This window comes from Homo sapiens, chromosome 15 (genome assembly GCF_000001405.40).
Source record: "Homo sapiens chromosome 15, GRCh38.p14 Primary Assembly".
Classification (NCBI taxonomy): domain Eukaryota; kingdom Metazoa; phylum Chordata; class Mammalia; order Primates; family Hominidae; genus Homo; species Homo sapiens.
Window position 1 is genome coordinate 89,006,576 of NC_000015.10, and position 14,404 is coordinate 89,020,979.

A 14,404-nucleotide genomic window follows, 5' to 3' on the forward strand; every position below is an offset into this window, starting at 1 on the left:
TATGTGAAGCAAGCCTTTTCTCTTTCCCTTCTTTTCTCCTCTTTTCTTTTTTATTTATATATATATATATATATTTTTTTTTTTTTTTTTTTTGAGACAGAGTCTTGCTCTGTCACCCAGGCTGGAGTGCAATGGCACGATCTCAGCTCGCTGCAAACTCCGCCTCCCGGGTTCACGCCATTCTCCTGCCTCAGCCTCCCGAGTAGCTGGGACTATAGGCACCCGCCACCACACCTGGCTAATTTTTTGTGTTTTTAGTAGAAGCGGGGTTTCACTGTGTTAGCCAGGATGGTCTCGATCTCCTGACCTCGTGATCCATCTTCTTTTCTTTTCGAGACAGGTTTTCTCTGTGTTCCCTAGGCTGGAGTGCAGTGGTGCAATCTCGGCTCACTCCAGCCTTCACCTCGAGGGCTCAAGCCATCCTCCCTCCTTAGCCTCCCAAGTAGCTGATGGCATGTGCCACCATGCCCCGCTAATATTTGTATTTTTTGTAGAGACAAGGTTTTGCCATGTTGCCCAAGCTGGTCTCAAACTCCTGGGCTCAAGCGATCTGCCCGCCTCAGCCTCCCAAAGTGTTAGGATTACAAGTGTCAGCCACTGTACCCAGTCTATTTTTCTTAATTGAGGTATAATGTACACATGGAAAAATACTCAGATTTTAAGAGTAGCATCCAACCATTTTTATCAAATAATGTAAGTAAAATATAGCATTAACATTCATTTCATCTGTTTCTTTTTTGTTTTGTAATGGGGCTACTAGAAAATTTTAAAATACATCTGTGGTTCATGTTGTATTTATTTTGAGATAGAAATACCCTCATTTAACATATACCCCTATCAAGACAAAGAATATTTCATCACCCCAGAATTTTCCTCATGTCCTTTCCCAGTCAATCCTCCTCACCCCAAAGCAATTGCTGATCTGAAAGAGGCTAATATTGAGAAACAGATGAAGTATGATAACTGGGTGGCCATTCCACCTGGATTCTTAGAATGTCTCCTTCAAGCAGCACAAGTGCAGTGCAAATAATTACATTTAATTCCTTATGGATCTTTTTTTTGAGACAGAGTCTTGCTCTGTCACCCAGGCTGGAGTGCAGTGGCACGATCTGACTCACTGCAAACTCTGCTTCCTGGGTTCAAGCGATTCTCCCGCCTCATCCTGCCAAGTATCTGGGATTACAGGTGCACGCCACCACGCCCAGCTAATTTTTGTATTTTTAGTAGAGGCGGGGTTTCACTATGTTGGCCAGGCTGGTCTCGAACTCCTGACCTCAAGTGATCTGCCCTCCTCAGCCTCCCAAAGTGCTGGGATTACAGGCATGAGCAACCGCACCCGGCCACTCATCACAATTTTTTGTCCTAACATTATAAACAATATTTATGGGTGTATTGGTTTCCTAGGACTGTTGTAACAAATTACCACAAACATAGTGGCTTAAACTAACAACATACAATTTATTCTCTCACAGTTCTGGAGGCCAGAAGTCTGAAATCAATGTCTTGACAGGCTGCTCTTCCTCTGAAGTCCTGGGGAAGAATCCTTTCTTGCCTCTTTCAGCTTTTGGTGGCTCCAGACATTTTTTGGCTTGTGGCCACATCACTGTAATCTCTACCTCTGTGGTCACACTGCTTTTTCCCCTTCTCTGTATCTTCTCTGTGTGTCTCTTATAAGGACAGTTGTCACTGTCTGTATTCAAGCTTCACTTGGCTAATCTAGGATAATCTCCTCATCTTGAGATTTTAAATCAATTATATCTGCAAAGATATAATTATATCTGCAAAGACCTTTTTCCAACTAAGGTCATATTCACAGGTTCCAGAGATTAGGTCATGGACATGTCCTTTGGGGGGCCACCATTCAGCCCACTACAGTTGGTTTTCTTTTTTTTTTTTTTTTGTCTGAGACAGAGTCTCGTTCTGTCACCCAGGCTAGAGTGCAGTGACGCCATCTTGGCTCACTGCAACCTCTGCCTACCGGGTTAAAGAAATTCTCCTGCCTTAGCCTCCTGAGTAGCTGGGATTACAGGCGTGCGCCATGCCCAGCTCATTTTTGTGTTCTTAGTAGAGACGGGGTTTCACCATTTTGGTCAGGCCGCTCTGGAACTCCTGACTTCAGATGATCTGCCTGTCTTGGCCTCCCAAAGTGTTGAGATTACAGGCATGAGCCACCACACACAGCCTACAATTGGTTTTCAATTCCTAAAGCCCACATCTCAGTGGAAACGTGAACCACGTAGGTTATTTTATTTTATTTTATTTTATTTTATTATTTATTTTAGATAGAGTCTTGCTCTGTCACCCAGGCTGGAGTGCAGTGGCATGATCTTGGCTCACTGCAACCTCTGCCTCCCAGGTTCAAGTGATTCCCCTGCCTCAGACTCCCAAGTAGCTGGGATTACAGGCACTCGCAACCACACCCGGCTAATTTTTGTATTTTTAGTAGAAATGGGGTTTCACCATCTTGACCAGGCTGATCTTGAAGTCCTGACCTCGTGATCCACCCTCCTCGGCCTCCCAAAGTGCTGGGATTACAGATGTGAGCCACCATGCCCACATTAAGTCATTTTAAACGTTCTAGTAGCCACATTGTTACAGTAGGAAGTTGAATCAGGCATGAGTGGGGCAGGAGAGGGCTCCCCTCACCCACCAGGAATGTCAGGCAACCATCAGGTGATGGTTTGGCAGTTGTCACACTGCCTCTCTAAAAATGATATTTGGCAGCTGGTGCTAGGGAGAGGCAATTTCCTGATGGCCCACAGTTGTCACACTAAATAATTGGTCACAGGCACCAAGGAGAGGCAATTTCTCAATAGATAAAAACACTTGAAATTCGTCATCAGCAGCTTCCAATAATTTATCCGGAATTGGGCGCGTGAGTTTAGGCATGCACATTAAGAGACAAAATGGTGGAGTATGACTTCGTGGGCATTCCACCAGAAAAGGAAAGAATGCCTCAGGTGAGCATGCATACAACTTCTAAAACACACTGTGCATGCTCACCTCCAAAGCGCAGAGAGGGCACCGTGCATGCGGGCAGCTCGCCGTATGGGAAGGATGAAGGGAAATGGGAACAAGACACTGGAAGTAGGCCAGCATATACAACCCTAAGTCAAAAGATCCAACATCACACTTGACCTTCACGGTGCCCATCTGGGTGTCTTCCAAGTGTGCTTTCCTTCCTTTGCTGCTGTAAAGCTTTTTAGTAAACTTCCACTCCTGCTCTGAAACTTGCCTCGGTCTCTTTTTCTGCCTTATGCCCCTCAGTCAAAACCTTTTTTCTGAGGAAGCAAGAATTAAGGTAGCTGCAGACCGATACGTATTTGCCACTGGTAACCCACATATTTGCCGCCCCTAATAACATTACAAAAGGAAAAAGAAACAGATAGAATTAATTTTAATGTAATTGATAGATAAGTAGGTTTTTTTTTGTTTTTTTTTGAGACTAGGTCTCTGTCCCCCAGGCTGGAGTGCAGTGGCATGATACAGCTCACTGCAGCCTCAACCTCCAAGGCTCAGGTGATCTTCTCACCTCAGCCTCTCAGGTAGCTGGGACTACAGGTGTACACCACCATCTCCAGCTAATTTTTTTGTATTTTTTTAAGAGACAGGGTTTCACCACGTTGCCCAGGCTGGTCTCACACTTCTGGCCTCAAGCGATCTTCCCATTTCAGCCTCCTAAAGTGCTGGGATTACAAGCTTGAGCCACTACGCCTGGCCTAATGTATATTTTAATGAAACATCCAGAATATTACCATTTCAACATTTAACCAACATACGATTATTAATAAGAGAGTTTACCTTTTATATTGTTTTTAGCACTAAGTCTTTGCAATCTTGTATATTACACCTACAACACAAATCAATTCAGACTGTCCCTGTTCCAAGGGCCACACATGGCTAGTGGCTACCACGGTGGACAGAGCAAATCTAGATAATGCACAGAGTAATTTATTGCAAAGTATGTTTATATGGATGGGATAATTTATTATAGAGGATAGAATGTAAGTATTACAAACACTGACAAAGTAAAAGTAAGGATATAGTCACAGAGGTTGGGAAATGTGGGGAGATAACAGGATGAACACATTTTACATAGTAGGAAGTGAATCAACAGAAATTTAAGTATAGAATTTAGAATTATAGTGTAACCATTTGTTTCAGTCTATTGCCGTGTAACAACCTACTCCAACATTTAGCGGCTTAAAGCAACAACTATTTTATTTGCTTGTGGTTCTGTGGGCCAGGAAGGCAAGTCACACTTGGTTGGCGGGTGCTATTTCTCATGGTAGTGGCTGAAGCACTGGGATAGCTGGAGACTCCAGAATGGCCCACTTGCATGACTGGCAGTGGGTGCTATCAGCCAGCTTAAGCTCAGCTGGGATTGCTGGCCAGGGACCTCTGTTCTCCTGTGAGCCTCTCTCCAGGCTGCTCAGGCTTCCTCAGGGAAGGGGTTCTAAGAAGGAACCTCTCAAGAACTGAAGATAGATGTTGCAGATGTCTTAAAACCCAGCCTTGGGGCCAGGCGCGGTGGCTCACGCCTGGAATCCCAGCACTTTGGGAGGCCTAGGCGGGCGGATCACCTAAGGTCAGGAGTTTGAGACCAACCTGGCCAACATGGCAAAACCCTGTCTCTACTAAAAATACAAAAACTAGCCTGACGTGGTGGCACGTGCCTGTAATCCCAGCTACTCAGGAGGCTGAGGCAGGAGAATTGCTTGAACCCAGGAAGCAGAGGTTGCAGTGAACCAAAATCGTGCCATTGCACTCCAACCTGGGCGACAGAGTGAGACTCCATCTTAAAAACAAAACAAAACCAAAAAGAACCCCAGCCTTGGAAGGTACACATTTTCACTTTTCGTGCATTTTATTGATAGAAATAGGTCACAGGGCCAGCCAAAATTCAAGGGAAGGGAAACTAGACTCCGCCTCTTAATGGAGGGAAAGCAAATTAATACTGCAAAAGAGCACGTAGGATGGGACATCTCGTTGCGTCCAACATTGAGAACACAATCTACCCTACCACTAGAAGAAAACAGACAGATAACAGACACTTGGGGAGAAGACAGGTGGGAAGGGAGCTGAGAGAGCTAGCTTGAAAATTATTTACTCTGGATACAGTCAGATGTTGATAAATCAATAAATATGAGACTGTAAAAAGTAAAGTAGAGGTTCCTCTTCAAAGACTTTCCTCCCTGTCTAATTAGGAATAGATAGTAACTTTTCTTAGAAGCAAAATTTATTCAAAGACCTATGCTAACATTCTTAAATATCTGCCAGCCATAATAAAGAAATCAATGTACTTTATGCTCTTAGCTCCCACAATTTAGCCTAAATATATGCCCTGGCATGCTTATACTGGTCCAAGCATGGCCTGTTCCTCTTCCTTATTTGAAGGTGTTTTTACCTTTTTCAGCATTCCATAAGTTACTTCCTCCTTCCTTTGTTCTCCTCTGCCTTTGCCTCTTTTAAAAAGTTCTAAGTTGCAGACGGGTGAGGTGGCTCACGCCTGAAATCCCAGTACTTTGGGAGGCCGAGACAGGTGGATCACGAGGTCAGGAGATCGAGACCATCCTGGCCAACATAGTGAAACCCCGTCTCTACTAAAAATTCAAAAAAATTAGCCAGGCGTGGTGGCGGGCGCCTGAAGTCCCAGCTACTCGGGAGGCTGAGGCAGAAGAATGGCATGAACCCTGGAGGCAGAGCTTGTAGTGAGCCGAGATCGCGCCACTGCACTCCAGCCTGGGTGACAGCGAGACTCCGTCTCAAAAAAAAAAAAAAAAGTTCTAAGTTGCTAGCCAATCGGGACAAATACAGAATGTCAGGTCCTGCTCAAGCCAGTGGAAACCAGACACAGCAGTAGGGAAGACACGTCAGGTTATAAATGACCCTGTCTCCTTTGTTTGGTGTGCTCTCATGGCAAAACTGCTGATGAGTGTACCCTTTCTGCAGAAAGTATAAAAATGGCCTTGCTGAGGAATTAAATTAATGTTCAAGTGCTATTTCTTCATGGCACCGGGGAACAAACATTTCAAACAAGACAGAAACAGTGATTTAGTGTAATACTGACAACAGAAAAGACACAAAACAGAGTGGTAAAATCACTACCTCTGGGTGGTAGGAATGGGGTTGGGAAGATGAAGCAGGAGACGTTGATGTTGCATGTTCTACTTTGTTAAACCGAGGGAATTAGTATTAAGAAATGGTGTTCATGGGCTGAGCGCAGTGGCTCACACCTGTAATTCGAGCACTTTCGGAGGCCAAGGCAGGAGGATCACCTGAGGTCAGGAGTTTGGGACCAGCCTGGCCGATACAGTGAAACCCTGTCTCTACTAAAAATTCAAAAATTAACCGGGTGTGATGGCATACACCTGTAATCCCAGCTACTCAGGAGGCTGAGGCACGAGAATTGCTTGAACCCAGGAGGTGGAGGTTGCAGTGAGCCAAGACTGCACCATTGTACTCCGGCCTGGGTGACAGAGTGAGACTCTGTCTAAAAAAAAAAAAAAAGGAATGAGATTCATGGATTATTTTTATGACGTAAATAAACATATATTATGAAGCTAGATAAAAATAAACCTATGAGACAAGGAGGGTACATAAGAGAGAAAGAAAGAATTTGTGGACTCTAGCAACATATAAAAAGGACTATACACCATGACCAAGCAAGATTTACTCCAGGATATGCCAAGTTGGTTTAACACTGAAAATCAATCAATGTAATACACCATGTTAATAGAATAAAGGACAAAACCACACGATCATCTCAATAGATGCAGAGAAAGCATTTGACAAATTCCAACAACTTTCGTGATACTCAACAAGAAGGAGTAGAAGAGAACTCCCTCAACCTAATAAAGGACATCTACAGAAATCCCACAGCTAACATTAGACTTAATGATGAAAGACTGAATGCTCTCCCAGTAAGATCAGGAAAAAGACAAGGATGTCCGTTCTCACCCCATCTATTTAACATTGTACTGGAGCTTCCAGCCAAAGCAACTGGGCAGGAAAAATAATTTAAAGGCATACAGATTGAAAAGGAAGAAGTATAACTCTGTGTTCACCGATGACTTGATCTTGTACATAGAAAATCCTAAGAAATCACATACACACATGTACTGGCGCAACTATGAGAGCTATAAACAAGCTCAACAAGGTTGAAGGATACAAGACCAATATATAAAAATCAACTGTATTTTATACACTAGAAATAATCCAAAAAATGAAATTAAAAAAACAATTCTATTTATAGTTACATGAAAGAGAATAAAATATTTATAAGTAAATTTAACAAAAGAAGGAATGACATACACATCTAAAACTACAATCATTGAAATAAATAAAAGGAAGATGCCGCCTGTTTTTGGATTGGGAGACTTGGTAAAATGGCGATACTATTCAAATTAATGTACAAGTTCAACACAATGTTGTTGTTTTTGAGACAGAGTCCCGCTCTGTCTCCCAGGCTGGAGTGCAGTGGCACAATCTCGGTTCACTGCAACCTCCATCTCCTGGGTTCAAGCAATTCTCCTGCCTCAGCCTCCCAAGTAGCTGAGATTATAGGCATATGCCACCATGCCTGGCTAATTTTTGTATTTTTAGTAGAGATGGAGTTTCGCCATGTTGGCCAGGCTGGTCTTGAACTCCTGGCCTCAGGTGATCGCCCGCCTCAGCCTACTAAAGTGCTGGGATCACAGGCGTGAGACACCATGCCCAGCCTCAACACCATCCCTGTCAAAATTCTAGCTGCCTGTTTTGCAGAAATTGAAAAGCTGATCCTAAAATGCATATGGAAATGCATGGGACCCGGAATAGGCAAAACAATCTTGAGAAGAACAAAGTTAGAGGATTCACAGTTTCTGATTCAAGACTAAGTGGTACTGGGACAAGGACAGACACATAAACCAAGAGAACAAAACTGAGAGTCTAGAACTAAACCCACATATTTATGGGCAATTGACTTTTGACAAGGTGGCAAGCCCATTCGATGAGGAAAAGACATAGCTTTTCAACAAATGGTGCTGAGACAACTGGATATCCACATCCAAAAAAAAAAAAAAAAAAGTTTAATCCCCTACATCACACCATATACAAAAATTAAGTCAAAAAGGATCAAAGCCTACATGTAAGATCTAAAATTATAAAACTCATAGAGAAAACATAGAAGTAAATTATTGTGAACTTGGGTTAGGCAAGGATTTCTTAAATATGACACAAAACACAAGTAACAAAAGAAAAAACAGATAAGCTGGACTTTATCAAAACTAAAAACTTTTGTACTTCAAAGGACACTACCAAAAAAAGTGAAAAGACAACCCACAGAATGGGAGAAAATACTTGCAAATCGCATGTCTAATAAAGGTCTGATATGAGAATACATAAAGAACTCTTATAATTTAAGAAAAAAGAGATAACCGAATTTTAAAATGGGCAAAGGATTTAAATAGATATGTCTCCAAAAAGGTATACAAGTGGCCAATAAGCACACAAAAAGATATTCAACATTATCAATCACTGGAGAAATGCATGTCAAAATTACAATGAGACGGCACTTCATATCCACTAGTATGGCTAAAACCAAAAACACAGACAATGAAAAGCGTGAGTGGGGACGTGGAGAAATTGGAACTCTCATATATTGTTGGTGGGAATATAAAATGGCAAAACCATGTTGTAAAACAGTGTGACGGTTCCTCAAAAGATTAAGCATAAAATTACCATATGACCTAGCAACTCCACTCCTATGCGTATGGCCAGGAGAAATAAAAACATGTATCTGCACAAAAGCTTGTATACAAGTGTTCATTACAGCACTATTCATAATAGCCAAAAGGTGGAAACAACCCAAATGTCCGTCAACAGTAACAAAAGATAAAACAGACAAGTTTGACAAGTTGAACTTTACCAAAACTAAAAGCTTTTGTACTTCAAAGGATACTACCAAAAAAACTGAAAAGACAACCCACCTAATAGGAGAAGACATTTGGAAATCACATGTCTGTAATAAACAAAGTGGTATATCCATACAATGGAATACTATTCAGCAATAAAAAGGAATAAAGTGCTAATGAATGCTACAACATGGGTGAGCCTTGAAAACATTACACTAAGTGAAAGAACCCAGTCACAAACGCCACATATCCTTTGATTTCACTTACATGACGTGTCCGGAATAAGAAATAGGTACAGTCAGAAAGTAGATTTGTGGTTTCCAGAGGCTGGGTGGAAGGGAAAGGGGGAGCAACTGCTCATGGGAACAGAGTTTCTTTTTAGGGTGATGGAAAGTTTCTCGAATCAGATAGTAGTGATTGTTGCACAACTCTGTGAGTATCCTAAAAGCTATTGAATTGTATACTTTAACATGATGAATGTTATGGTATGTGAAAAAGGAAGGAAGAGGTGAGAGAAAGAAAGAGTACAAATGCATATAAAACTTGGAGGAAGAAGAGAAAGAAATTAAGGAATTACTAAACCTTTTTTTTTTTTTCTTTTTGAGACAGAGTCTTGCTCTGTTGTCCAGGCTGGAGTACAGAGGCGTGATCTCGACTCACTGCAACCTCCGTGTTACAGGCTCAGGGATTCTCCTGCCTCAGCCTCCCAAGTAGCTGGGACTACAGGCATACATCACCACGCCCAGCTAATTTTTTTTTTCTTTTGTAGTTTTAGTAGAGATGGGGTTTCACCGTGTTAGCCAGGCTGGTCTTGAACTCCTGACCTCAAGTGATCTGCCCACCTTGGCCTCCCAAAGTGCTGGGATTACAGGCGTGAGCCACCGCACCTGGCCAAAACCTTTATTTTCTCAATGAAGCAGACATTCACTCCACAGACCTTATGTACTATATGCAGAACACTCAATAAATGCCTCTTGGCCCAGCTGAGGCTCAGTAGCTGATCATTCACTAAGAAGGCAGAGGGCTCTGCTGATGCAAAAGGGATACCGGGTTCAGGATTTCAACTGGGGGAAGTTTCCATTGAGCCTTCTAAGTGCAGGGAGCCTCCTGACCTCAAGTGATCCGCAGATCTCGGCGCCCCCATAGAGTGTTGAAGCATCCCGGGCCACCATCTGTGGCCCAAAAGGTTTTTTAAGGGGCAAGAATCCTTTTCTTGGCTTCTGCAGTCAGTCTCCTTGCCAGTGACAACATCAGGGCAGCAGTGGAAAAAGACACGCTTTCAGTTGCTGGATAAAGTGTCTTCACCGTCTTGGCAAGTAAGTGCTTTTGTTATTTTCCCACTAAGTGATTCATTCTCCTGGAGGCAACTCCTTGGGCACTTCCTGGACACCCACTCACCTGGAAACACTGAGGTCGCTCCTGTCCAAAAGGAGTGCTTCCTGTGGCTGCCTGCAGAAAAAACAGGCTCAGTGTAGGCAGAAATGGCGGCTTTCAGAAATACCGCATGATCTCACTCACATGAGGAATTTAAACCAGCGGAACACAGAGACAGGAGAGGAGTGGAATGGTGGTCACCAAGGGCTGGCGTCGGGGTGGAGGGTGGAGGTGTTGGTCAAAGGATACAGAATTAGACAGCAAGACTTAGTTCAAGGGATCTATTGTACAATCTGATGACTATAATTAATGCATTGTACACAATACTTGAAAATTGCTAGGAGAGTAGATTTTAAGCGTTCCCACAACAAATAAGTAAGTCTGTGAGGTAGTACATATGTTAACTCTCTTGACAAAGCCATTCTGCCAGGTATACATATTTCAAAACATCATGTTGTATACCACAAATGCATACAATTTTTATTTGTCAATTTAAAAAATAAAAAGAAATTACTGCCTTCCTCTCTTTGCCTCCCCTTAAGGAATCCCTTCACTGCCTGAGGGACCTGTCCTAGGTGCCAGAGTGAGCAGGGAGGAACACAGGTGTGTCTCGGTGGCTGGAGAACCCAGCCAGGACGACGCCCAGTTTGGAACTGTACCGAAGCTGAGCCCTGCCTTGCACGGCTGAAGCTTAGCCACAGAGGCGGAACTTCCCTGGCTTTTCCTGGAAGCGGAAGCCGTGAAATGGCCAAAGCACAAGACAGGGTGGTGCAGTTTTGCTCCCGCGCGATCACCGTTGGCCACGCGCCTCGGTCTCTATCTGTAAAAGAGATCCGCATCTCTGGTATTTGATGCTGGAGAGAAAAATGTGCGGCCTCCGCCCAACCTTGAGTTTCCTGCTCCACCGCGCCCTCTCGTGGTTAACTGGACTCACGGCTTTCTCGCCCCCAACCCCAACCACCTAAATTGCGGTTCTCAACCTTGGCTGAGCGTGGGAATCACCCGGGGACCTGCGAAACACCGATGCCTGGGTACCGGACTCTATCCGCGCCTCCCCCTGCGAGAGATTCTGACTTAATTGGCCTGATGCAATCCGGGCGTCCCCTGGGGATCACAGTGTGCAGTCAAGGCTGGGAAACACTGACCCACCTCTGCTCTGCCAGGGATCCTGCGTTTGGCTGACGACATTTCTCTTGTCAGAGCCCACCGGACTCTGCTTTCCGGATATAAAGGATCCTTTTGCAAGTCTAAACACCTCAATGTCGGCATCACACCCTCAAGCATCCACCCTCTACTCCTGAAATACTCATGATTAATATGTGCTTTTAATTTCTATTGCTGGAGAAAATGTTTCTGAAAAATTGCACTTACATAAATAGATAAGGCATATTATTTGTATTATCTGCTGACAACATCCGTGATGTGTGCATGTGTGTGCTGCGTATGCACAGAGCTTCCTCACTATAATTTCAGGAGCTTCTCAGGGCCTTAGGTCAGAGATCCGCTAGCCGTGCCAGGGCACTCTGGCCCTAATGTTAAAAATAGACCATGGCTTTAGCCACTCCTGTCAGTATCTTGTCTCACTGCCCAGTGCTCCATTCATCAGGAGAAATTCCTGAGCTGCTGCCCAGCCAGTCAGCCAGGCCCAACTGAAATTCCCAGGGGGCCTGTGAGGGGGGTCACACGTACTCTTAGCTTCTAGGCTGGACCTCAGGACTCCTAGCAGAAGGATATCCACTGTGGCCCTGCGACCTTGTCAATCGTTTGATTCACAGCCTCTCAGTGACACTGGCACTCAATGAGATGGGCTCCTTTCATGACACGGTCACCACCATCATCACAATCTCCAGCATTTTTGGGTTCCTACTATGTGTACAGCAGTTTTCAGGAACATTTATTATTTATTTATTGAGACAAGAGTTTCCCTCTGTCACCCAGGCTGGAGTGCAGTGACATGATCTCAGCTCACTGCAACCTCAGCCTCCTGGGCTCAAACGATTCTTGTACCTCAGCCTCCCAAGTAGTTGGGATTACAGGCACTCACCACCACACTAGCTAATTTTTGTATTTTTAGTAGAGATGGGGTTTCGCCATGTTGGCCAGACTGGTCTTGAACTCCTGACCTGAAGTGATTTGCCCACCTCGGTCTCTCAAAGTGCTGGGATTACAGGTGTAAGCCTCCATGCCTGGCCTATTTTAAAGGAACTTATAAACATTAGAAAATAGTGTCTTTGTCATCCAAAAATGTATAGTCCAGTGGGAGAGAGGGTAATAACATGGGGACATGTGAGAAAATAAAGTTCTGTTTAATTCCCTCAGACCCAATTGAGCACTGGTGTAAGAGTTGTGTAAGATATTTTAAAGATGCCTTAAAAGAGGTTAGAATCTGAGGACAATGAGAATGAGGACAAGAAACGCGAGGCAGTATGAAAATATCAGGGTCAACAATGCAAAGCAGGGGAAGGTAGTGCCTCTGCTAATCAGGACTCATTCTGCTGCTAATGTCAGTTCATCAACTAAAATTCACTTAAACAACAATAACAAAAAGGAATTTATTGATTCACTGAGCCAAAGGATAGGAAGAATGTGCTGAGCTTCAGTGACAGTGGAATCCGGGACTGAATGCCAGCAAGAATTTCTCTCCCCTTTCCCATAACCCCCACCCTTCCCCTTCCTACTTCACCCACTTTCCCCAAACTCTGGGCTTCCCCCTCTCTGCAGCCTTTCTTCTCTTCCACACAGAAGGGCTTTCTATGCACACCAGGAAATATGGCCCCAGGCAGTTCAAGATTCATAACCTTGGTCCTCTACCAAAAAGGAAAAGAAACCTTCCCTCCCAGTTCCGTTTAAAAGAAGAACAAACCAAACAAACCAACAGAAAAGGACTTGAAGTACCCACTCTTCTGGGCAGAGTGAGATGGGGTACTTTCATTGGTCTCCCATCCAGAGCCAAACAGTAGGCGTGGGGGAGAAATGTCCCCTGAAAGAAGGGGATGATGGTTGTAGCAGACAAAACAAAGTCAGCCAGTACATGACATGGGATTGCTTTTCTGAAATGAAGGGCCACCGTTTTTGTTTTGTTTGGTTTGGGGGGGGTTGTTTGTTTTTGTTTGTTTGTTTGTTTGTTTTGATATGGAGTCTCGCTCTTGTTACCCAGGCTGGAGTGCAATGGCGTGATCTTGGCTCAATGCAACCTCCGCTTCCCGGGTTCAAGTGATTCTCCTGCCTTAGCTTCCTGGGTAGCTGGGATTACAGGCGCCCACCACCGTGCCCGGCTAATTTTTGTATTCTTAGTAGAGACGGGGTTTCACCATGTTGACCAGACTGGTATGGAACTCCTGACCTCAAGTGATCTGCCCACCTCGGCCTCCCAAAGTGCTAGGATTACAGGCGTGAGCCACTGTACCTGGCCCCGGGGCCACTGTTTTTAACCAATTGTCAAAGGGATCCCTAACCCAAAGATAGTCTTCCAAGGGACCTCAGTGACCAACCAGTTCAACTCCTCCATTTTACAGAAGAGAACACTGAGCTACAGAGAATTTAGGTGATTTGCCTAAGATGGCACAACTATGATGGGATTCTGCATTTGACTGGATGTAAGTGGGGGAAGAGGTATGTGAGAAGAAAGAGTCAAAACCTGGTCTGAGGCCAGGCGCAGTGGCTCACTCCTGTAATCCCAGCACTTTGGGAGGCTGAGGTGGGCGGATCTCCTGAGGTCGGGAGTTCGAGGCCAGACTAACCAACATGGAGAAACCCCATCTCTACTAAAAATACAAAATTAGCTGGGTGTGGTGGTGCATGCCTGTAATCCCAGCTACTCAGGAGGCTGAGGCAGGATAATCACTTGAACCCGGGAGTTGGAGGTTGCGATGAGCCAAGATTGTGCCATTGCACTCCAGCCTGGGCAATGAGAATGAAACTCCATCTCAAAAAACAAACAAACAAGCAAACCAAAAACCTGGTCTGTCAGAGTAAAGACAAATTATTTTTCATTTTTTATTTTATTGAGACAGGGTCTTGCTCTGTCACCCAGGCTGGAGTGCAGTGGCACAACCAAGGCTTACCACAGCCTTTACTTCTTGGGCTCAAGGAATCCTTCCACCTCATCTTCCTGAGTGGATGGGACTAGTAGCTGC